General features: G+C 34.9%; 1 protein-coding gene across 2 annotated transcripts in view; it reads left to right on the top strand.

Moving 5' to 3' along the window:
* Positions 1–26,826, top strand: part of TEX15 (testis expressed 15, meiosis and synapsis associated) — an 81,465-nt gene that overhangs the window by 32,868 nt on the left and 21,771 nt on the right. For both annotated transcript variants that reach the window (NR_146525.2, NM_001350162.2), the window contains 4 exons: positions 5,039–5,204; positions 12,639–12,876; positions 20,084–20,230; positions 21,311–21,473. Coding sequence is in view for 1 of the 2 variants with exons in the window: in NM_001350162.2 (NP_001337091.1) it covers positions 5,039–5,204; positions 12,639–12,876; positions 20,084–20,230; positions 21,311–21,473 (714 nt within the window). In the remaining variant the exon portion in view is untranslated. The remainder of the gene's footprint in view (positions 1–5,038; positions 5,205–12,638; positions 12,877–20,083; positions 20,231–21,310; positions 21,474–26,826) is intronic.

Raw genomic sequence — 26,826 nt, 5'->3', positions numbered from 1 at the left:
ATGAGAATCCCTTGAACCCAGGAGGGGGAGGTTGCAATGAGCTGAGCTCACGCCACTGCATTCCAGCCTGGGTGACAGAGCAAGATTCCACCTCAAAGTAAAATAAAAGATAATAACCTTAAAATGAAATACTTAGGTACAAATATAACAAAATGTGTAAGGTTTCTATGTTATAAACTATAAAATACTGATTTTTTTTTTTAAAAAAAAAAAGGAAATCTAAATAAATGGAGAGATGTAGTGTGCTCATGGATTAAAAGACTCAACATAATGACATCAGTTCACCACAAATTTATCTGAAGGTTTATTGCAGTTCCTATCAAAATCCCGCTAAGATGTTCATAGGTAGGCAAGCTTATTCTGACACTTACCTGGGAAGGCAAAGAAACTAGAATAGCTAAAACAATTTTGAAATAGAAGAAGTATATGGAAATACTCTATCCACTGTTAAGCCTTAGCATATAGCTGTAGTAAGAAAGACAATGTGACCACAGAAATAGACACACAGATCTGTGGAACAGAATAAAGATTCCGAAAACAGACCCATGCAAATATGCTCAATTGATTTTCTTTCCATTGATTTTTAACAAAGGTGCATTCAGTAGAGGAAAAATAGTCTTCAAGAAATGTTGCTAGAGCAATTGGACATCCAGAGACCAAAAAAATGAACTTCACCCTAACCTCATGCAAAAAATAATTCCGAATGAACCTTGGGCTTAAATGTAAAATGTGAAGCTATAAAACGTCTAGAAGAAAACATGAGAGAACATCTTCAGGATCTCAGCTTGGATAAGGAGTTCTTAGACATGATACCAAAAACACAATCTATAAAAGAAAGAAGAAATTCACTTTCATGAAAATCAGAAACTTTTGCTCTGCGAAAGACTCTGTTAGGAAGGTGAGAAGATAAGCTAGGAATGGGGAAAAAAGCATTTGCAGATCGTTTATCTGAGCAAGGACTTACATCTGGAACATATAAAGCACTTTCAAAGTTCAGTAGGTAAAAAAAAAAAGGCAATCCAGTTAGAAAACAAGAAAAAGACATGAATAGACTTTTCACCAGAGAGAATACACTGATGGCAAATGGGCTTATCAAAAGATGTTCAACATCATAGCCATTAAGGAAATGCATATGAAAACCACAATGAGATGTAACTATATACTTGTTAGAATAGCTGAAAAAGAAAACAATAACAGTACCAAATGCCAGTGAGGATGGGAGACAACAACTCACTTGTGTATTGCCATTAGGGAATGTAAGATAGCACAGCCACTCCAGAAAACAATTTGGCATCATCTTTAAAAACTAAACATGCAGCCATGCCCAGTGGCATGTGCTTGTAGTTCCAGCTACTCAGGAAGCCAAAGCAGGAGGATTGCTGGAGCCCAGGAGTTCAAGGCCATCCTGAGCAACATAGCAAGACCCAATCTTTAAAAAAATAAGTAAGCACGCAGGCCAGGCACAGTGGCTCACGCATGTATTCCCAGCACTTTGGGAGGCTGAGGCAGGTGGATCACCTGAGGTCGGGAGTTCAAGACCAGCCTGACCAACATGGAGAAACCGCATCTTGACTAAAAAAAATAGAAAAATTAGCCCGGCATGGTGGCGCATGCCTGTAATCCTAGCTACTCGTGAGGCTGAGGCAGGAGAATCACTTGAACCCGAGAGGCAGAGGTTGTGGTGAGCCGAGATCGCGCCATTGCACTCTAGCCTGGGCAACAAGAGTGAAACTCCGTCTCAAAAATAAAATAAATAAATAAGCATGCAACTGCCATATGATCCAGCCGTCCTTCCCTTGGGCATTTTTCTCTGGCAAACAAAAAATGATGTTCACACAAAAACCTATACATGAATGTACACAGCAGCTTAATTTGTAATAACCAAAAACTGACAACCACCCAAATTTCTAATGAGTAAATGGTTAAACAAACTGGCACATTCATACCATGGTATACTACTTAGCAATAAAAAGAAACAATCTACTCATATAACAACTTGGTTGAATCTCAGAGGCAGTATGCTAAGCAAAAAAAAAAAAAAAAAGCAATCTTTACAGGTCTCATACTACAAAATTTCATTTACAAATATTCTAGAAATGACAAAAGTATGCATACGGAGAAGAGAGTAATAATTTTCAGGATTTAGGGACAGGGTAGGAGAATGGGGGTGTGGGAGAGTTTCAGTATGAAAAAATATATAAAGGAGTGGCAGAAGGGATGTCTCTGGTGATAGAGCAGTTCTGTATCTTAGGGTGATTGTTACACAAATCTACGTGTGATAAAATTACATAGAACTACACACACAAGTGGATGTAAAACTGGTTGGTAAAGTCTTAATAAGGTCTGTGGCTTGTACCAATGTCATTTTCCTAGTTTTGATACTGGATTATAGTTACATGTTTCCACTGGAGGAAACTGGGTTAAGGGTACACAGGACCTCTGTGAACTGTTTTTGCAACTTCCTGTGAATCTAGATTCATTTCAAAATAAAAAGTTATACATCCACAAAATCATCATGTTATAAAACTATCAAAATTTCTACATCATATGTTATGAAACTATCAAAATTTGTAATAATTATTACAAATACTAAAATGAAAATCATTTTGGGGGTCAATAATAGAATTAAAAATGGGAATGAGGAATGAATTGTTACTGAAATCAGCTGGTTATAGTGTTTTATATTGTTTTTGTCATTATGTTAACTTCTGTTGATAAGCTAAATTTAAGGGGCAAATTGTTAATTAGGTTCATTTATATGGAAGTTGCCTTAAACCTTCTATATAGTCAATCTTCATTATTTGAGGATTCCATGTTTGTGAATTTCCTACTTGGTAAAATTCACAATCAACAGTCAGCAGTGCTTTTTTGTCCGAACTTGTTACTCAGCAATGCTTTCACAGACATGCACGTAGGGCTCTAGAATTTGAGTTACCCAATGCATGCATTCTCATTTAAGGTCAAATGAGGCCATGCCCTGCCTTGTTGTTTCAGCTCTCATACTGCAATAAGTGTTCTTTTCCTAGTGATGGTGCTACATTGTTGTATTAGTCCTATTTTTTTTAATAAAAGATTTAATTGACTCACAGTTCCCCATGGCTGGTGAGGCCTTAGGAAACTTACAATCATGGCAGAAGGGTAAGCAAACATGTCCTTCTTCACATGGAGTCAGGAGAAAGAAGAGCTCAGCAAGGAGGGAAAGGCCCCTTATAAAACCATCAGATCTTGTAAAAACTCACTATCTCAAGACTAGCATGGGGTAACTGCCCCCATGATTCAATTACCTTCCACTGGGTCCCTCCCATGACACATGAGATGATGGGAACTACAAGATGAGATCTGGGTAGGGACACAGCCAAACCATATCAATTGTTAACATTTTTGTTGGTGATTTCACTACTTTAAATGGTCTCCAAGTGTAATGCTGAAGTGTGGTCTAGTGTTCCTAAGGTCAAGAAGGTTATGATATGCCTTACAGAGAAAACACATTTTAGGTAAGCTTCACTCAGGCCTGAGTTCAATGTTAATGTATTTCCAGGGAGAGGAGGAAGAAACTTGCCAATCTGTACATCAGGCCTCACCAAAAAGTGCTAAGGTAACATCTGTAGTGCCTGATGAAACTCTGGGAAAGATAGAAAAGCAGCTAAATTTATAGATTCATGAGATTTCGTTATGGCTAATTAAAAAAACATAGTGGGCAGCATTGTTGTGAAGCTAAAAGCCGGAAGAACTTAGGTCACATTACCCAGAGTCAGGAAAATGTTAAACCCTTCTTGGCTAGTGCTATTTGACTCAAACATTTCAAAAGGTGATAGATGCAATATGAAAAATATTGAACTTGCAGGCAGATGGGTTCTGCAGATCAGGATGTTAAGAAAGAATTTTTTTAAATAACCAGCTAAATGTCACATAGGAAAATGGAAGAACAAGTTTTCAAAACTGATGAGATTGGTTTGTTTTATAAAGATGTTGGCAGAAGAATCTACATAATGCAGATGGCATTTTGGTGGTCAAAAATTTGACCAGGATCAGCACAGTGGCTCTTGTCTGTAATCCCAGCACTTTGGGAGGCCAAGGTTGGAGAGGATCGCTTGAGCCCAGGAATTTGAGACCAGCTTGGACAACATAGCGACCCCATCTCTACAAAAAATAAAAGAAAAGCTAGCTGGGCATGTTGGGCCTGTGCCTGTAGTCCCAGCTACACAGGAAGCCAAGGCAGGAGGATCGCTGGAGCCCAGGAGTTAGAGGTTACAGTGAGAAATGATCATACCACTGCACTCCAGCCTGGGCTACTGAGTGAGAGCCTGTCTCTAAGGAAAAAAAAAAAAAAATTGACCAGATGCCCACAGTAACTTAACCCTTTCCTTTCCCCCAAGAACAGTAGTTTGTGACACAGTGTTTGTGACTCGATGTTGGTGGGAACTTTGTGGAATATAACTACCACCAATAACAATAGTCAATTATATTTGCTCCTTGCTTTCCTCTGAGTTCACTTCCATAGGATTTTATCCTTTTATGCATCTATTTACTACAACAATGCTGGAGATGCTCACTGTCCTAAGAAAGTCTGTTTCCTCTTTCACATGCCACTGTATCAGGCAGCATCTTACACACATGTTCTTGTACTTTTGCAAATCAAAATAACCCAATCATTTTCTAATGTGCAGATTGCCTTATCTTTACTTGGCAAATACTCATGCACTAACAGTAGCTGCCAGATTTGTGTAATGATGTGCATTGTACAGTCAGAGTTGCAACATCTTAAGTTGAAAATTCTGGGACTGTCATATCTGTATGTGTCAACTTTTAAGAACTCTTAATAGGTATGTGGAGAAAATCATGGTTCATATTTTCATTTATATCAAGTATAGGAGGTCTACATTACTGTTGTAGAATCTTAAATACAAATGGTTGCCTTATGTTGTTAATGAAAATTCCAGTACTTAGTTATTTTGTGTCTTAGAGATACAGTTGTCATTGTACAGATGTCCAATAATGTCATTTTAAATACAACTGCTTTCTCTTTTTCTACCTTTAGTTTACTTGTCACCTTGTTACACCAATAGTAGAGAGTATAGTTTTATACATGATACTCTTAACCAGTGCAGGCTTGATGTAAACTGTGATCTGCAGTCGTTATGGCAGTTTGGGGATACAAAACTGGTTCACAATGAGGAACTGGAAAAAAATTTTACTGCTAAGAGGTAAGTTACTATGATCTAAACGTGTTTGAGATTTTGTTGTGTTTGTTACTATGGAGTTTTATGCTAATTCATTTCTACCATATGAGATTTAGTAAGTTATTACTAAGAAAACACAGATTATTTTTTGTTACATTCTCATAGTCTTTTGTAACATTGAAAGCCAAGTGTGAGATTTGATTAGTTTTATGTATTAATGTAGTGAGATTTCAGACACCTCCTTCCAATTTTTTAACCTTGATAAATTTTTCAGAAACATGCATCAGCACCTTTATTAAGCAGGCAATTTGTAGATCCCTCACACCTCCTAGATAATGTAAAACTGCAGTCGAAGTAATCAAAAAGTAACTTCTTTTTACTCTTGAACCCAGCCCTTAAGAGACTGGGTTGATGTTTTAATTTGAGAGGATTGTAGCCAGCTGTTTCCAGCTATTCCACTAGAACTATTCTATGTTGATGCCATTTCTCACACATAATTTTTTAAAGTACTTCTCCAGGTTTTTTGGAAGGCATATTATTGTCATTTTGATAAGAATAAGAGCATATGCAAAGTTCTCATTGTAAGCATTTTTAATTATAGGTATAGATTTTGTGTAAGCACAATTTAGCATTCCTATATTTTCTTCTAACTTGTCTCCTTTGCCATTTCTCACTGTTTAACTTAAAACCTAACTAGAGCTTGATAGACCCACATGTGGAACTCGTTTTGGAATGTTTTGGCTTGTTCATTTTAGAATTGATTCCTCTTGATTCAAACATGCTGCCACACTTGGTGTCTGGAGATTTGGAATTAATGGGAATGACAGAATTTGTTGTGGTATATTGCCTTTCCTCTTAAAAACACAGTTTTGTAGGTAAAAAGGACTGGGTATATCCAATGACTTCCAAGTTGAAAAACACTTTGATCAAAAATGAATTCCTGACACGGTTCTTTGGTTTTGCTTATTTTGGACATTAAAATTTTTGTCCTTTCAAACAAGTTATTTCTCCCTGTTAGTGTTATAGAAAAGTTAGAACAAGTACCCAGTGATAGGGCTGTTAAAACATTGTAAATGACCAACATGTATAGGATTTATTGTTTTCTTAGCTATTTGCCCAATTAGACAAAAACTCATTTGTTTCCCATAGTTATTTATACTCATTTTATGGTACTTACTACAATATATTGATTTGTGTCTCATTCTCCTAGTATATTTTGAGTTTTATCTTGTTCTTGTGTTCAAAGTGCAAAACTGAGTCTGGCAACACAAGCCAGTTTGAATGGGTTTCTGTACTTGAAGTCAATGATAACCCAACTGGAACTGAATTTGGTACTGGGAAAGGGGTACTTGTAGGTAAGAGATTCTAAAATACGGATTTACTTCAAGGGAAGAGGGCAATGAGGAATCCCCACCCCTCCAGTATTCCCAAATGGGAAATTGGTGATAATCTGTACCTTAGGGCACAGATCCTGTGTTTCATGAGGCTGTAGTTTTTGAGAAAATTTCTACCAAAAACTCAGCATATTAGAGTGCCTTGACCATTTCCCGTTTAGACACAAGAAACATTATTTTCTCAATCGTAGAAAATTCAGATTCAATAAAAAAGAATCACTTTGTGGCCTAGTTTCACAGTTCAGCTTTGCAAGATTAGCTTGAAATAGGTAATTAATCCTTTCCAAAGTTAGGGTGAATATGGGTTTAAAAGGAATGAGATTTAACAGGGGATAAAGATGTGGTAAAGCACAAATCTGTTGCATTAAATCTTTCCCAAATAACTCCTTTTAAATATTTTCTGCCTAGTAAGTGGAACTACTCAAGTTTATACAGCAAAGATACACGTTGCTTAATGACAGGAATATGTTGTGAGAAATGCATCATTGGGCAATTTCGTCATTGTGTAAACATCGTAGAGTGGAATTACACAAACCTAGATGGTGTAGCCTACTTATACACCTCAACTATATCGTATACCTGTTACTACTGTAGACATTATAAACACTGTACACTTAGGCTACGCTAAATGTATTTTTTAATTTTCTCAATAATAAACCTTAGCTTACTGTAATATTTTTACTTTATAAACTTTAAAAGTCTAACTTTTTGACCCTTTTGTAATAACATGTAGCTTAAAACACAAATACGTTGTGCAACTGTACAAAATATTTTTATCCTTATTCTATACACTTTTTTCTGTTTTTTGTTTTTTTTAACTTTTAGAACTCTTTATTTAAAAACTTAAGACACAAACACACACATAAGCCTAAAGCTACACAGGGTCAGGATCATCAATATCATTGACTTCCACCTCCACATCTGTCCCACTGGAAGGTCTTCAGGTGCAGTAACGTGCATGGAGCTGTCATCTTCTATGATAACAATGCCTTCTTCAGGAATACTTCCTGAAGTACTAGCCTGAGGCTGTCTTACAATTAATTTATTTTAATAAGGAGAGATCATATACTCTAAAATAAAAAGTATAGTATACTAAATACATAAACCAACAACATAGTCATTTATTATTAACAAGTATTGTGTACTGTACATAATCATACATGCTATACTTTTATATGACTGGCAGTGCACCACCATCACCACAGACATGAAAGTGATGCATTATGCTATGACACTGTGAGACCTAAGCTATCACTAGGCAATAGGAATTTTTCAGCTCCATTATAATCTTACGGGACCACCATTGTATTTTTGGTTTGTCGTTAACAAAAATGTCTACTATGGCACATGACTGTATTTTAAATGCAATCTGGGGGTAGAAATTGATAGTTTCAAGTTGAAATCCACTATATGAAGTTCATTATAGATTGAGGGCCTTGGATGGTGGGAAGGTCCCAGAGGCTTGTTGCCAAGAGACAGACATTCTTACTCTCACCCATTGTCTGAACAAGATCTCCTGCTATAGTTACTAGCCTTTGGAATTTTGAGAGCAAGGAATCCCAGCTACTTCTTTACAGAAGGATATACTTGTGCTAAGGACAAGTTAATACTGACAATTGTTAGCATTCTTTACTTTTTAGAATTTAATTGTATTTTTTCCTCCACCATTGTATTTTGGGTTTAGATAATTTAAACCTAGCCGTAAGTCACCTAAAGGAACGTTGGTTATTTAGATCTATATCCAGATCTATTGGAAATGAAGGCATTTCATCCATGTGATCATCATGGATCTGGAGTTGGATGTAGTAATTCAGTGAGACTTTGGGTTGTTCCCTCCTTGTGAGGTGGATTGAAAGTGCTTTGTGTGAATGAGCGTTTTTGAAAGTATATGTGTTAGAAGAAGGGTATGTGTGAAAAAGCGTAGCCAAATGAGTAGACTGCAGTTTTCCTAACAATTCTAGATCATCTTTTATAATTAGCCTAACCATTTTTTGTCCAATTCCCCTTGCTTTATGAGTTTATTGATGTACAAGCCTAGTCGTTATTTTTAAACAACCATAGCATAAGACTTGCTTGGAAATCCTGGGAAGGTGAAGTCTGTTTCTCTTCTGGTGGCTGTGAGCAAGGAAGCCTCGTTGCTACCAGCTTTCTTCTTGTGACCATCATGGGAGCTGGATGTGGATAAAGATAAAGCTGTGCACAGCAGAGGGAGAGTTGTGGGGAAAAACAAGTTCTTCGTATCATTGAGGGGCCAAGTTCAGAATCTGTGTGTGGTAAGCAGCATAATGCTTCCCCAAAGATGTCCACATCCTACTCCCCAGAACCTGTGAATATATCACCTTACATAGCAGAAAGGACTTTGCAGGTGTGATTGAGGTTACAGACCTGGAGATGAGTGATTATCTGAGGTGATATTAGTGGGCTCAGTTTAATCACAGGAGCTTTTAGTAACAGAAGAGGGAGGCAGAAGAATGGATCAGAGAGCAGAGATGAAAGAAAAAAGATATGAGGGGGACTCAGCTTGCCTTTTCTGGCTTTGAAGATGAAAAAAGGAGATTATGAGCCAAGGATGGTGGGTAACTTCTAGAAGCTGGGAAATCTCCTTGCTGGTAATTCAGTTCTGCCAACTTGGAAAGAGATCCTCCCCTAGAACCTCAGAAAGGAACACAATCCAGACAGATGACACCTTGATTTTAGCCCAGTGAGAGTCATGTCTGACTTATCTGCATAACTAAAATAATAAATTTATGCTTTTTAATCCATTAAGTTTGTGAGAATTTGTTATAACAGCAAAGGAAACAAAGTCTTACATCTGGAGTTGGGTGGCATTAGCACATTTCTTAAATATTGTGGAATCCCAATTTCTCTTAGCTGTCAGCGTTTTGGTTCTTATATTGCACTTTGGGCCAGCTGGATACTGAGTTCTTATCACTAGCAATCTGATGGATTTGAAAATTATTAAGTTATCTTTAAAGATCTCCAAAGAAATAATTTTATTTTCTTTGTTATAAAAAAATACTTACTTGAATACTTTTAATCTCTACTTTAGGCGACCCCCCACCCCATAGCTAAATACCTTGTATGAACTTGTGTTTCCGCTTAAACTTAGAGAAAAAATACTTCCCAGAGTTTTATTTATTGCACAAAAAATTACCTACTATATGTAGGTTGTCTTGGAACCTATTTTAAATGATGTAATTAACTATGACATAGGCATTCCATCCAAAGCACTTATACTTTGTTGTAGTTAGCTTAAATGAGACAGTATGGTAGCACAGAGTAAATTAAAAGTTCCTGGTCTACAAAAAGATATACAAGATTCCAATTCTATTTCATCCACTCAGCTTCTCTATTATATGAGTTTTCTCATCTGTCTTTTACATTTATTTACTTAATATTTAATAAAATATTAGTTAAAAAGTAATGACCAAAATTAAAAACCCACAAGCAAGAGTATAACTACAAATTCTAAGACTTGAGTGTTGTGTTGATTTTGAGCTTTCCACCCCATAGCTTAAAGTACATGCAGGGTTCAGAGGTGACAGACTTTGACATCTATCCCTCATTAGTATTGCTGCAGAAAAACATGGGGAAACATTTCTAGAAAATTATTCTTTTATGTATTTTTAAAATTTAAGATAATATAAATATTATTTTAGCACAGATTCTGATGCTTATTAATGTCTTTTGGTAAAAGAGTACTTTGTATATGCTAGTTCTTCAGATTCTTACCCAGTTACGTTATCAAGCAGGTGAAGCTCCTTGCCTGATGCACTAGAAGTCAGTACTATGATACCGGGTTTTTGAGAAAAGAAAAGCTTTTATTGCAAGTAGACTCACAAGGAGATAGGAGGTCAAGCTCAAATCTGTCTCCCCAAGCTAGCTTTAAAGCAGTAGTTTTATTAGAAATGGTTTGGGGGTGGATCCTAGGATCTTTAGGTGATTGGTAGAAGGAAAGGGAGGTGTAGAAAGTCCTTGGGCATGCACAGTTGTCTCTTTATGCTTCCTCATGGGTCCCATGTGCAAATTTGGGGGGAGTTAGTATAAAACACACGGTGGAAATTCAGGCTGTGATGTCAGCAAGCTTATTGTGTATAAACTTCATTTGGCCAAAATGGTTCCAAATGATTTCAGCTGGTCTTGTTACAAGCGGAGGGAGTTTGAGTATTTCGGTAAGTTTTCTTATATGCCATCCTGCAAGCTTAAGAATTTCTGCTAGTCAATGGTTTCTTTAATTCTTGGGGGCACAGTTTCAATTACATGTTACTGTGTACAGAAAAGAGTCTTTAGGCTCGTTTTACCTATTGTTTCTGAAATGGAAGTCTTGAGACTCAGAGTGTCTGTCATTTAAAATCGTGATTTAGATCCTGTCGTCTGAATAAATTTGGAAAGCCAACCTTTTATGCAATTTTTAGAGCCAGAAATAGATCAAAAACTAACTTTTTTATAGGTCATTTTTTTACTAACATATTTAGGCCCATTTTTTTTTCAAATATAGTTCTGAAGACATACTGAAAAATAAAAAGTATTAGTAGTATAATTACCAATACAAAACTCCAGGGAGTATTTTCTACTTCAATTTACAGAGGATTTTGAGCCCCGGATTAGATTTTTATTGTTATATTTGTTTCATTCCACTGAAACCCTTGTGATGATATAATGGTAGTCAGGAAGATGACCAGGTTAAAAAAAAAAAAAAAAGAATTTAGCCCAAAATATCCCTGGTGCCACTGTGGAAAAACCCTGCTGTAGGGTTTACATTATACATCTTTAATTTATTCTGTGTACCTTCAAATGTTACTTTTATGTATAGTGTAAGAATCTTAGACAGTGATCTTAGTGGTTCACGGAATCTGATGTCAAGTTGAAATCAAGAGCAGGAAATGCCAATTTGTGGAGCCAAAAGTTAAGGCTGACATTTCTAGGAAATAGAAGTGATCATTATCTAATCAGTCAGTCTTGCTTTTGTGGTCCTGCCTACTGTTAATGATGAGTCATTCTTGAAAATAAGTATTAATATACTTATGTGCATGGTATACTTCAAACACATTCTATAAGTGGTGTTCCAGGAAATAAATCTCGGAAGCATGTGGTTCTCAAGAACAATTTTCTTTTTGTGGTATATACATTCCTTTGCTGGGTTCTGTAGGTTCTCCATTGCAGATAATCATTTGGACCCTAGTGTCTGAACCACTCTATTGTACCACCTGATGTGGCAATTTCTGCTGCCACTACTCCTGAGCAAGCCATATAGAATATCTAATCTGCCAATTTTAGGGAAGGGATATATATTTTATATGTTTAAATGGGTTTTGTAATGGAAGTAATAGAATTGGGGATTATCTATACTTCAGATTATAATCTTTTTGAGGTTGATTCCTAATTTTCTTTACCTAAGATAAGATCCTGTAATCAAATATTAGCTTGTTTCTCCCAGCTGTTACCTAAATCCCTGAAGAATGGAGAATGTCCCTAATAATTGATATATTTGTGCATGTGTGTGCGCTTTTGTGTCTATAGATGTGTAGAGATACGTAGATATAGACAAGATACTTTGTTTAGAAAATGCATGTTTTTCCCTCCATAACACAATTAACAAAAAATGTGAGCTCTGGAACCTGACAGACAAGAATTGGCGTGTATAATTCCAACTCTGTCATTTTCCTACTTCGGCAAGATTTAACTTTCTGAACCTCATTTTCCTCATTTTAAAAATGTCGATAGCAACAAAATAAACTATAAAAACTTCTTGGGAAGTTGAGAATGAAATGAGAAGATGCATGTAATGCTTAAGACTTGTACTGGTTACATTAGCAGCATTTAAGAAATGTTAGCCCCTGTTATTTTAGACCAGGAATGATGATAATGTTCATAAATCTTGGCTAAGTAATCCTGAATTTGTTCCTAAGATGATTTTCAACCAAATTTATCATCACAGTGTAGTAATACCTCTGAATATCGCTACTTCTCTTGCTTTCTAACTGTGGTAAGTGGAAATATGTATCTTCTTGAAAATTTTGTTGATATTTATCTTTAACTGTATACATTGTTTGTTTTACTTTAGGTCAGAGATGCGTGAAAGTGGAAGACATTGCAGGGAACTTGAAGAACAGTTCTGCTTTTTAGCACTTCCCCAGAGTGATGTAGCCCAGATATATCAGAATGGAATAAGTACCAGAGCATCTACATTGAAGATACTAGGAAATCCTCTTCTTGGAATTTATATGTTTAGACATGTTGATATTGCCTTGAATTATTCTCATAGTCAAAGCATTACTGTAGAAAGTATTTTAATTTTTAAGGTAGGTATCATAAAACAAATATTAAGTATATGGACAGTTTGCTTTGAATTGACCTGAACATATTATCCTTTCGATATAAATTGTTAATGTTTTTAAACTGCAGTCTATTAAATAAGTAATAATTATATTTATTATTTTTGTCATCATTATTCAAAATTTTCTCCTTTCCTCTTTACCTGGGTGTGCAACACAAAGCAAAAAAAAAAAAAAGCAAAGGCAGCCTTCATCTTTGTCTTCCCAATATGTATATTTTTTTGTTCTGATTTACCCACCTCTCTTTTACTCTTTTTGTTTCTATCATAATAAGTACTATAGTGTTTTACATACCCTCCCCTAAAGCATTATATTAATTTTGGTTTAAGCTAGTTATTTTTAAACTCCTGCAGTTTATTTTAGTTAATAGTATTGTATCAATGTTAAATTCTTAATTTTGGTGATTTTGCTATGGTTATGTAAGATGTTAACGTTAAGAAAAGCTGGGCACAGGGTATATGGGACCTTTGAACTATTTTGTGCATGCGTGTGTGTGTGTGTGTGTATGTGTGTGTCAAAGCCTTGTTTATAGAAGAAAATAGCCACCATGTAAATGTCCAGCAATAGTGTATTATGAAAGTATCATATATTATGTCTCTGGAATAAGAAGTATCCATTGCAGTTAGATTTATGGAGAATTTTTAAAGATATGGGAAAATGCTTATGCAATCATGTTTAACTTTTTAAATTTTTAAAAAATGAGATATCAAGATGATATAAAGTGTGCTTAGTTGTTATGAGTGATGATCTTTGGATCATGACAATATAGTTTTCTGTACTTTCTAGTTTTCCAAGTTAGGGTTTTCCAAATATCCAGTGGTAAGTGTTCCTTTCCTTCCCTTCCCCTTCCCCTTCCCCTTCCTCTTCCCCTTTCTCCTTTCTCCTTTCCCCTTTCCCCTTTCTCCCTTTTTGTCCTTTCTGCCTTTTCTCCTTTTTTCTCCCTTTCTCCCTTCCATTTTCCTTTCCTTTTTTTGCGACAGTCGCACTCTGTCACCCAGGCTGGAGTTCAGTGGTGCAAGCTCAGAGTGCAGCATTTGCAACTGTTGTAAATGAGATTGATTTCCTGATTTCCTTTTCAGATCAATAACTATTATCATATAGAAATACTACTGATGAGTGTTTGTTGATTTTGTATCCTGCAACTTTACTGAATTTATCAGTTCTAAGAGGGTTTTTTTAATGACACTAGGTTTTCCTAAATATAAGATCATGTCATCTACAAACAAGGATAATTTGACTTCTTCCTTTCCCATTTTGATGCACTTCATTTCTTTCACTTGCCTGATTGCTCTGGCTAGTACTTCTAGAACTACATTGAATAGAAATGGTTAAAGTGAGCATCCTTGTCTTCAAGATCCTTGTAAAAAGGCTTTCAATTTTTCCCCATTCAGTATGATATTAGCTGTAGGTTTGTCATATATGAGTTTTATTGTTTTGAGGTATATTCCTTCTGTACCCAATTTGTTGAGACTTTTTGTGAAGGAATGTTTGGTTTTATTGCTTTTTCAGCATCTAATGAAATGATAATATGGTTTTTTTGTTTTTGATTTTCTTGATGTGATCTATCACGTTTATTGATTTGTATAAGTTGAACCATCCTTGCATCGCTGGTATGAATCCCACTTGGTCATGATGAATGATATTTTTAATATGCTGTTGATTTCAGTTTGCTAATCTTTTGTTGAGGATTTTTACATCTCTGTTCATCAGGGGTATTGGCCCATAGCTTCTTTCGTTGTCTTTGGTTTTGGCATCAAGGTAATACTGGCCTTGTGGAATGAGTTTGGAAGTATCTCCTCCCCTTCAATTTTTTTGAATAGTTTGATTAGAATTGGTATTATTCTTTAATGTTGGTTAGAATTTAGTGGTGAAGCCATCAGGACCTGGGCTTTTCTTTGTCTGAAGACTTTATTACTGTTTTGATCTTGTCACTCATTATTTATCTATTCAAGTTTTCTTTTTCTTCATGGTTCAGTCTCAATAGGTTGGATGTCCAGGGATGTATCTATTTCTTTTGGGTTTTCCAATTTATTGCTGTATAGTTATCATACTAGTCTCTAACAATCCTTTGTATTTCTGTGGTTTCAGTTATAATGTTTCCTTTTAGTTTCTGATTTTATTTATTTGGGTCTTCTGTCTTATTTTCTTAGTCTAAGTAACAGTTTGTATATTTTGTTTTTTTAAAAACAAAGTCTTCCTTTGTGGTTGATTTTCTCTGGTAGTATGTTTTAATTCATTGCTTTTTAATTTTAGTATTTCTGCTTTTTGGTTACCCTAAGGCTTACAAAACACATTTTGTAGTTAAAACAAGTTATTTAAAACTGATACAGTTTAACTTTAATTGCAAAGAAAAAAACCTATACACACCAATTTTCTTTTCTTCCCACATTTTGAATTTTTGATAATCCCACAATTTATATTATGTATATTGCTTGTCTCTTAAAAATTGTGGTTAAGTTTTTTCATTTTGTCTTCTTAAAAAAGATGGTTTATACACCATGGTTACAGTATCATATTAGCATCCTTTTGGTTTTGAACAACTCCTTTTAGTATCTCTTGTAGGACAAGTCTGGTAACAATAAATTCTTTCAGCCTTTTTTTTTTTTTTTTTTTCTGGTCTGGGAAATTATCCCTCCTATTTCTTCTTCATTTCTGAAGGATAGTTTGCTGGCTACAGTAAAACCTTTTTCTTTTCTTTTCTTTTTTTTTCTTTTTTTCCCTGAGGACATAGCTTCAAACTCCCAGGCTCTAGCGATCCTCCTACCTATTTTTTAGATGTTTATATATATGTCTTTCATCAGATTTGGGAAGTTTTCAGCCTTCATTTCTTCAAATGTTCTCTCTGCCCATTTTCTCTCTGTCCTCAGACTCCCACAGCATATATGTTCTTACGCTTGATGGTGCCCCACAGGTCCCTTAGGGTCTGTTCACTTTTTTTTTTTTTTTAGTCTTTTTTCTCTCTGTTCCTCAGCCTCAATAATTTTCGTTTTCCAATCTTTAAGATCACTTATTCTCTCCTTTGCCTGCTCATATCTGCCTTTGAACCCCTCTAGAGAGCTGTTCATTTTAGTTACTGTACTTTTCAGCTATTGGATTTCTTTTTGGTTTTTAAGTTTTCTCTTTATTGATATTTCCATTTTGTTCATACATTGTTTTTTTACTATCTCCACATACTTAGCTCTTTGAGCATCTTTAAGACAGTTATTTTAAAGTCTTTGTCTAGTAGATCAGCCATCAGGTCTTTTTCAGGGACAATTTCTGTTTTTTTTTTCCTTTGAATGGGCTCTAATTTTCTGTTTCTTTACATGCCTGGTGATATTTTTTGTTGAAAACTGGACATTTCATCTAATAATGTGGTAACTCTGGAAATCATCTCCTCCCAGGGTTTGGTTGTGGTTTTGTGTTTCTGTTTTTTGATTGTTGTAGGCTGTCTCTGTGCCAAGGATCAACCTGCTGTATAAACTTCTCAGCCTTTTCTGAGCCTGCACTTTTCCCTCTGTGTGCTGATTTTCTAATTTCTCCTGTATCTGTAGTTGCTTTTGAGTAGTATTTTTTTTTTATGTCTGGCTGCAAAATAGGGGAAAAGAAAAAAATGAAGAAGGGAAAAAAGGCACTGGCTCTTTAATCCCCTGGGTGTCATTTCAGCCAGGCAAGGAGGGGCTTGCAACAATGGTATTGATGCAGCAATGCCTGCCACTTCTAGTTGCCACTCTGTTATTAATAGAAGCAGCACTCAGTGATGAGAATACATATACCATATGTTTATTATTGCCCACTCTGGCCCACAAAAATTGTGGCCAAGAACACATGTACAAGCTGCTCCAGGAACACTGTACAGCTGCCTGTCATGGGGCACAAAGGGTGGCTGCCACTGTGCTAAGAACTGAAATTGACTGAAATTAACCATAATACAGGTTTAGCATCCCTAATCCAAAAATTTGAAATCTGAAATGCCCCAAAATTTGAGATTTTCTGAGTGCCAACATTACACTCAAAGGAAATACTAATTGGAGCATTTAGGGTTTCAGATTTCCTTATTAGGGATGATCAACTGGTAAGTATAATACAAATATTCTGAAATTTGAAAAAATTCAAAATCTGAAACATTCTGGTTTTAAGCATTTTGGATAAGGGATATTCAACCTGTATGCTATTCAAGCGTTCCCCTGAAAGTTGCAAGCCTTCAGTAGGTTCCAGAGATCCAAAATAGTTACACCAGACAGATTTTGCCAGTGCAGTTATTGTCTAGGTGGGGAGACAGATGTCTGGTACCTCCTACTCCACCACCTTCCCAATTGACCTCTGAACTATTTTTACAACTTTTCTGAAATTCTAAAAGGTATTCAAAATCTTAAAAAGTCTCATAGCAGAATCGCAGGCATCCACAGATAAATTGGTTAAGATTTATTCTGGTCATTTTTCTTGGAGAAATAAACATAAAGAGAAATCTAAGTGGGGAAGAAAAGAAAAAAAAAGATTTACTCTGGTTAAGCTTTGCCAGGACTATTAAAATCACAGTAGGTATCCTGATTTGCATGAAAACAGCTTGGGATTGTGTGTATAGCTACAGAAAATCAGTGGTTCATGTGGCATAACTCCTTACAATTTTTTTGACCTCAAATATCAAATTAAGCATAATTTACTTTTATATTAAAAAGTAATAGATAAGGATTTTAGAAAATTTGGAATGTAGTAAAAAGTCCAAAAAGCCCAGCAGTAACCACAGAGTTTTTTGTGTATGTGTATTAGTCATCTATTCATGTATATAGACATGCAGGTATAATTGTAATTAAAGTATGTTGTTGCTTTGTATATTACTTGCTTTTTTCACTGATTATAAAATAAACATTTTCCAAGCCCTTAAATATTATTTTGTAATATCCTTTTGAGCAGCTGCATAATATTACACTGTAGACCTGCCATATTTGCCCAACAAATTCTGTAATGTTAGGATATAAGTTATTTGGTTTTTAGTTTGTTTTGTTTTTACACTCCTAAATGCTATGTAGATTATCCTTTTAGGTACATTTTACACACACGAATGATTCTTTGCTAAGAATTAATTGGTTTATTCCTAGGTGTCAAATTAGAAATCAAAAGTATGTACATTTTTACATCTTTTGATTGTGTAATGCTCAACTGTCCTGAGAAAGATTGCACTAATTGACATTTCCATCCACAGTGTGTAAGAATGCCTGTTATCTCACAACCTCAGTAAACCTATATATTATACTGAACTTTAAAAAAAACTTTTGCCAGTCTAATGTGTGGTTTAATTTTTTCTTCATTATGATTACTCCTGAGTTTAAAGTTTCTGTTGAATATATTTACTGACTGTATTTAGTGAATTACTTATTTATATTCCTTGACAGTTTGGGGGGATTTTTTCCCTTTTTCTGCGTTGACTGGTGAGCATTATCTATTGACTAAAGCATATTTTAAGAGCTAGGCTTCTCTCTGTATAATGTTTTATCATTTCACGTTTTTAATTTTTTAGTAAACTTTTTAGCTTAGAATAATGTTAGATTTATAGAAAAGTCACAAAGATAATAAAGAGAGCTCTTATATATAATGCACCCAGCTTCTTCTGATGTTAACATTTTACATAAATATGGCATGATTGTCAAAACTAAGAAACTAACATTGTCACACCATTAACTACATTACAGACTTTATTTGGCTTTTGCTAATTTTTCTACTCATGTTTGTTTGCGTTCCAGGATCCAATTCAGGATACCACTTTATTCTTAGTATTGTTTTGATTGTTGAATGAACGTACTAATCTATTTAAAATAACAGTAATAAAATACCGTCATTTATGTTCATGGTTTTAGTTTTTAAATCATTTGTTGTTTATGGGCAGAAATTTTAGAATATTATGTTGTGAAGTTTATATGTTTTTGTTTCATTTTATTGGCACATATTCTTAGAAAACAGTTGTCACTTTGAGATTGAATAAATATTGGCCTATGTTTCTTTCTACAGTATTTTCATTGTGTTTTTAATACTTAAATATTTAACATGTTAAGAAAAGAATTTAATTTTTTCTGTTGTCTCACATCATTAATTGAATAATCACTTCTTTATTTCAAACGGTATCTTTAATATACTGTATTTTTAGTATTTTTAATACATGTTGGAGCTTACTCCAGGCTTTTTCTTTCATTCTTTTTTTTGTTCATTTTGGTCTTTTCTCTGCTTTTTCTTGTGGTAGTACCATCCTTTTTAAAAATGTTTTTATATGTGTAATTGCAAGTCACTTGTCCTGTTCCATCATTGTCAATTGCTAACCCAGACTTAAAAAAAAAAAATTCTGAGCTATTCGTGTTTGTCTTCCAAGTACATTTTAAAATTAAACCCCATTTTTAAAAGTAGATTCTCGGCTGGGCGCGGTGGCTCACGCCTGTAATCCCAACGCTTTTCGGAAGCCGAGGTGGGCAGATCACCTGAGGTCAGGAATTCGAGCCCAGCCTGGCCAACATGGCAAAACCCCATCTCTACTAAAAATACAAAAATTAGCTGGGCATGTAATCCCAGCCATTCAGGAGACTGAGGCAGGAGAATCGTGGAGCCCAAGAGGCGGAGGCTGCAGTGAACCAAGATCACACCACTGCACTCCAGCCTGGGTGACAGAGTGAGACTCTGTCTCAAAAAAAAAAAAAAAAAAAGTAGATTCTCTGAAATTTTAATTGGTATTACTCTAATCTTAGAGTTTAATTTGGGGGAGAATTGACATAATTGCCATGTTGAGTCATCCCATTCATCTAGAAAATGGATTATCTTTCCATTCATATTTCTACTTCTTAAAAAAAAAAATCAGGGCCTGGCACGGTGGCTCATGCCTATAATCCCAGTGCTTTGGGAGGCCAAGGCAGGAGAATTGCTTGACCCAGGAGTTCATGACCAGCTTGGGCAACATGGTGAAACCTGGTTCCTACAAAAATTAGCTGGGCACGGTGGTGCTTACCTGTAGTCCCAGCTACTCAACGGGGCCGAGGTGGGAGGATCGCTTCAGCCTGAGAGGTCGAGCCTGCAACTCCAGCCTGGACTGAACAGAGTGAGACCCTGTCTCAGAAAAACAAAGCAATGTTAGCCTTTTATGTTTGAAATGTGACAGTTTAGAAACGTTTTGGTATATTTTTACGTACTTTTTTTTTGGCTTTTTTTTTTTTAGGTTCTCTTTGGAAAAGTGAAGAAAATCCAACCTTCTGTGGATAAAAATAAAGTTTCTTTGGATCCTTCTCCTAACTTTGATTGCCATATGTCAAGAAATGCACCTTCTTTGAAAGATACCATTGAACTGCAAGCCTACAGTTCAGCAGTATGTTAATGGTTCATTTGATTTCTTGAAAAGTACATGTTTCACATTGTATGTTTTAAGACTTAAATTCCCAAAATGTTAAATGAAAATCTCTTAATTCGTTCAATATAATATCTTAAGCAAACAGTGAAAGCTATTTTAATATTTGTTGTATGGAATATTAGTGAAGAAGTTTGAAAAATTACATTTAACTCAGTTCAAAGTACAGTGGCTTCTTTTATTTAGATATTATATAGATTAATTACTAACTTTCAAAATATACCAACTTCTCATTTAAACAAGGCTGCACAGCAGGGTGACCATACTTAATAATAATGCATTATTTCAGAATTGCTGAGAGTAAATTTCCAATGTCTCACCATAAAAAGTGATGGGTGAGGTGATGGACATGTTAATTACCTTGATTTAATTACTCCTCATTGTATACATATATCAAAACACCACATTGTGCCCCACAAATATATATAGTTAAGATTTATCAATCATAAATAATATTAATTTTAAAAAACAAGGCTATTTTGAAACAAGATTTTGATCTTCTATACTTTGCAAAAGTAGGAAAAAGAAAAGGCTTATGTATTAGTCATCAGATGAAACAGTAATCTGTCATATTTCACTTATTCTGTGGACCTTTAATTTTATACAGAATATTAAATTATATATGGATTATATATAATCATATTATGATTAAATGAAGATAAATCTTCCCAATGAAAGTATATCCATGCACCCACATGTAAAACAGATTACCTATTGTTATTTTCCTAATTTTTTCTACCAAATAAAATAGAGTAGTTGAAACTTCATGCAAAACATTTAGCTTTTAATGAAAAAATATTTTTTATTTAAAAACGAATTGTGCCTTTTTCTGCAGACATTAGTAGCCTATCAAAAAAAAATTGTGGGGGAGAAAAAGGAATTCTGTACATCTTCAAAAACATTAGGGTTAAACAAGGCAGCTGGAGAAGTTTATATGGAAGTATATAAATAATATGCAATTATATTGATTTTTTAAAAATATGAGCTTATTCAACTCTGATTGCCAAAATTAATCAGCATGAACCTGTTTTCATCTTTCAGGTGTACTTCTATGAATACAGTGTCCTTTCAAAGCCTGTAGATAAACCTAGGCAATGTCTTCCATATGCTGTAGTAACAGTAAAATTTCTTGGTTCAAAAGTAGATAATGGACGCCTTATGACATCTTTGAGATTCCTCTCAACAGGATTTCCTAAGAGAGCTGGTAAGATACACATATGATTGTACTTGATTAATATTTGTGCTGGTCTTAAAATTTCTCAGTATTATTTACTGGCTGGACACAATGGTTCACACCTGTAATCCTAGCACTTTGGGAGGCGGAAGTGGGCGGATTACTTGAGGCCAACCTGGCCAACATAGCAAAACCCCGTCTCTAGTAAAAATACAAAAGTTAGCCAGGTGTGGTGTTGTGTGCCTGTAATCCCAGCTACACAGGTGGCTGAGGAAGGAGAATCACTTGAACCCAGGAGGTGGAGGTTGCAGTGAGTCAGGATCACACCACTGCGCCCAGCCTAGGTGACAGAGGGAGACCTTGTCACAAACAAAAAAAAAAAAAGAAAAAGATAAAAAAAGTAGTGAATCTCCAAGTAAAATAGTTGTGTTTTACCTGTTTTACATTTTATAGATCTAGAATCATACTGCAGGTATTTTGCTCAGTATTAGGTTTGTGTGATTCTTCCCTATTGATATGTGTAACTGTAGTTTGTTCATTTTCTTGGATAAATGGAAAGAGTATTCCATTGTGTAGACACACTGTACACTATCCTACTGAGGATGTTTGGGCACTTTCCAGTCTTCTTCTTATTCCAAACATTGCTATTTTAAATATTCATAAAAGTGTCTCATGGCATATGTGCAAGAATTTTTCCATAGAATATGTATTTACAACAGGAATGTTCAACTTAAAGACAACATCAAATGGTTTTCCAAAGTGGTTTGCATTAGATTACATAATCACTCCATATTCTTGTCAACACATACTATGCTTTTTTTTAAAGTTTTGTTTCTGCCAGTCTAATGAGTGTGATATGTTATTTCATTGTGGTTTTAACTTGTTTTTCCCTAATTAATGAAGTTGAGGATTTTTGTATCCTCACCAAACTTAGTGCTGTCAGACTTTTTCAGTGTTTTTGCTACACTAGTAGGTACAGCATTTAATTGCTTTTGTATTTTACTTTTCCTCAAATGCTAAGTAAGTTAGGTTCTTTTTTGATAGGTGTATTGGCCATTAGTTTTCCACTTTTCTGAAATTCCTGGTCACATCTTTCATCTGCTTTTTCTAATTGAGCTAATTTTTATTTCATTACTGATTTGTAGGAATTCTTTTACATATTGGATATTGGCTCTTGGGTCAGTTGTATGTGTTGCGAGTGTCTTCTCTGAGTTTGTGTCTTCGTATTCTCATTTTTGTCAAATGTTTTTTGATGAACAGGGGTTCTTAATGTCAGATATGTCTTTTTAAGTACTACTACATGTGTCTTTCATAAGAATACTTTTCCTAGGACTTGAAGATATTTTTCTGTTTTTTTAAACTTTATGGGTATGTTTTCCCATTTTTGTTTTATCTACCTGGAAATGACTTTGGTGTGCGATAGGATTCTTTTAAAGTCCCAGTTTATTTTAGTTTACATGTGCTAACCCAGTTGTCTCAGTACAGTTTATTGGAGAATCCATTTTTCCCACTGATGTATACTGCAGTACCACCTCTATAATATATCAGTTGGCTGCAGGTGCTGCAGGGATCTCTTACTGGACTCTCTATTCATCTCTTTGCCTATCCTTTTGCCATGAGCATCTTGCCTTAATTATTGTAACTTCATTAAAAATACTAATACCTGACTTTGTATGAGAGAGAAAAAATACTAATACCTATATAACTGATCCTTCATCTTTTTAAAAATAATTTTTTGTTTCTGGTCCTTTGCTGTCATAGAAATTTTAGAATCAGCTTATCAAGGTCTGCCAACAAATCTATCAGAATTTTGATTGAGATTGATGGAATCTATATATTAATTTGTGGAAAATTGTCTTCTTTATTGAGTTTTCTAATCTATTAACATTGTGTTTCTCCCATGTCAGTTATCTCTAACGTATTTCAATTTTATAATTTTCTCTATAATATCTTACATGTCTTTTATTTTCAAACATTTGATATTTTATGCTATTTTAAATGATAGCTATTTTGTTTTATTTTCTATTGTATGTCAATTCAGTTGATTTAAAAGTATAAGATTCAGTAGCTTTTAGCATATTCACAAATATGTGCAATCATCACCACAGTTTTAAAATTTAAGGTATTTTGTTTTGTTTTGTTTTTGAGACAGGGTCTCACCCTGTCACCCAGGCTGGAATGCTGTGGCACAACTTGGCTCACCGCAGCCTCCGCCTCCCAAGCTCAAGCAATCCTCCCGTCTCCACCTTCAGTTGCTGGGACTACAGGTGCGCACCACCACACCTGGCTAATTTTGTATTTTTTTTTGTAGAGACAGGGTTTCACCATGTTGCCCAGGCTGGTCTCAAACTCCTAAGCTCAAGTGATCCACCTGCCTCAGCCTCCAGAAGTGCTGGGATTACAGTCGTGAGCCACCGAACCCTGCCGAAGCTCACATTTTAAAGAAACTTCGTGCCGGGCACCATGGCTTATGCCTGTAATCCCAGCACTTTGGGAGGCCGAGGCAGATGGATTACCTGAGGTCAGGAGTTCAAGACCAGCCTGGCCAACAAGGTGAAACCCTGTCTCTACTAAAAATACAAAACTTAGTTGGGCATGGTGCCAGGCGCCTATAATCCCAGCTACGTGGGAGGCTGAGGCAGGAGAATCGCTTGAACCTGGGGGTCAGAGGATGCAGTGAGCCGAGATGGCACCACTTCACTACAGCCTGGGTGAAAGAGCAAAACTCTGTCTCAAAAAAAAAGAAGAAACTTTGTGCCCTTTAAAAGCTATTATATCCCTGACCCCCAGCCCTAAGCAACTACTAATGTACTTATTTGCCTAATCTGGGCATTTCATTTAAGTAAAATCATAGTTTTTGGACTTTTTTGCGCCTGATTTCTTTCACTTAACAATGTTTTCCCAGTTCGTCCATGTTGTAGCATGTATCAGTACTTTATTTCTTTTTATGCAGTACCATTTCATTGTATAGATACACCATATTGTATTTATCAGTTGGTCAACATTTGGGTTGTTTCCATCTTTTGACAATTACAAATTCTGCTATGAATATTCGCATACAAGTTTTTACATGGATATATGTTTTCATTGCTCTTGAGTACAGTATATCCAAGAGTGGAATTGCTGGGTTATATGAAGACTCTGTAGTAACTAATCAAGGAACTGCCAGACTATTTTCCAAAGTGGCTGCACCATTTAAATTCACATCAGCAGTGTCTGAGAGTTAGAATTTCTTCATATCTTTGTCATAACTTATTTGACTTTTTTATTATAGCCATCCTAGTGGGTGTGAAGTATAGTTTTCAGAATATGAGTTTTGCACTTCTTTTGTTAAGCTTATTTCTAAGTATTATTTGGTGCTATCATAAATGGAATTATTTATTTTATTAGTGTATTGTTCATTCCAAATGTATAGAAATATAATTGATTTTGTGTAATTATAGTGTATCCTGCAGTCTTGCTGAACTCGTTATTCTAATAGATTTTTTTTAGTGGTCTTTGGGATTTTCTATATATAAGATCATGTCATCTGTGAATAGAGAAAATTTTACTTTTTTCTTTCCAGTCTTTTTTTGCATAATTGCCCTGGCTAAGCACCTTCAGTAAGAGAAGTGGCAAGAGCAGACATCTTTGTCTGTATTCTTGAATTTAGGGGGAAGGCATCCAGTCTTTTACCAGGAAGTATGATGTCCGTTGTAGGAGTTTTATAGAAGCTCTTTATCATGTTGAGGAAATCTGCTTCTGTTTCTGGTTTATTGAGAGTTTTTAGACTATTGGATTTTCTCAATTGTTTTTTCTTTGTTGAGATGGTTGTGACTTTTTTTGTTGTTGTTTTTATCGATATAATGTATTACATTAATTGATTTTAGATGTTAACATCGCATTCCTTGGATCCCATTTGGTCATGGTGTATAATTCATTTTATATGTTCCTGGAATCAGTTTGCTGCAATTTTATTGGGGATTTTTGTGTCCATATTTGTAAGAGATACTGGTCTGTCGATTTTTTGTGATGTCTTTGTCTGGTTTTGGTGGTAGGTTAATATTGTTCCATAGGATGAGTTGGGAAGTATTCTATTCTCTCCTCTTTTATTTTTTGGAATAATATATGAAGAATTGGTATTATTTCTTCTTTAAACATTTGGTAGACTTCACTAAGGAAGCCATCTGGGGATGGGTTTTTCCTTGTGGGTAGTATTCAATTACTCATTCAGTTTCTTCACTTGTTTTAGGTCTGTTCTTATTTTCTGTTTCTTCTTGCATCACGTTCAGTACTTTCTGGTTTTATTGGAAGTTGTTCATTTCAGTTATGTAATTTATTAGCATACATTTGCTTATAGTATTCCTTTAATAGTCTTTTTATTTCTGTTAGTAGTAATGTCCCCTCTTTCATTTCTGAGTCTACTAGTTTGAGTCTTCTCCTTTTTTTTTTTTTTTTTGGTCAGTCAGGTTAAAAAGGTTTATAAATTTTGTTTTTGTTTTGTTTTGTTTTTCAAAGAACCAATTTTGGTTTCATTCTTTTTGCTATTCTATTCTCTATTTCATTAATTTCCTCTCTTTATTTTTTTCTGTTTGCTTTAGATTTAGTTTGCTGTTTCACGTGTGTGTGTGTCTTAAGATGGAAGGTTAGGTTTTGATTTCAAATATTTCTTCTTTGTTAATATAGGTCTTTATAGCTATAAATTTCTAGAAACAACTACTTTAGCTGTGTCCCATGACATATGTAATGTTGTAATTTTCATTTATCTCAAATTTATTTTCTAAATTCCTTTTGATTTATTCTTTAATTCATTGGTTTTTTTCAGACCATGTTTTTTATGTATTTGCAAATTTCCAAAATTTTTTTGTTAACCGATATCTATTTCATTCCATTGTAGTTGGAAAACAGTTTGTCTTATCTTTTTCCTTTAAGTTTATTGAGGTTTGTTGTATAACCTAGCATATAGTCTTTCCTGGAGAATGATCCATGTGCAACTGAAAAGAATATACAGTAGTCCTCCAGTATCTGTCAGGGAGGATTGGTTCCAGGATGTTCCATGAATACCAAAATTTGTGGATGCTCAAATTCCTTACACAGACTGGGTCAATATTTGCATATAACCTACACACATCCTCCCATATACTTTAAATTATCTCTATATTACTTATAATACCAATACCACATTTGTGCTATGTAAATAGTTGTTATACTGTGTTTTTTATTTGTATTATTTTTTATTGTTATATTGTTATTTTGTTGTGTTTTTATTTTAATTTTTCACCCATGATTGGTTGAATCCATGGATTTGGAACCCACCAATACATAGGGCCAATTGTACTATATTCTGCTGTTGCCAGGCAGGGTGTTCCATAGGCTGTTAGGTCTACTTGTTTTATAGTTTGTT

This window comes from Homo sapiens, chromosome 8 (genome assembly GCF_000001405.40).
Source record: "Homo sapiens chromosome 8, GRCh38.p14 Primary Assembly".
NCBI classification, from domain to species: Eukaryota; Metazoa; Chordata; class Mammalia; order Primates; family Hominidae; genus Homo; species Homo sapiens.
This window is presented reverse-complemented; position numbering and strand designations above follow the sequence as displayed.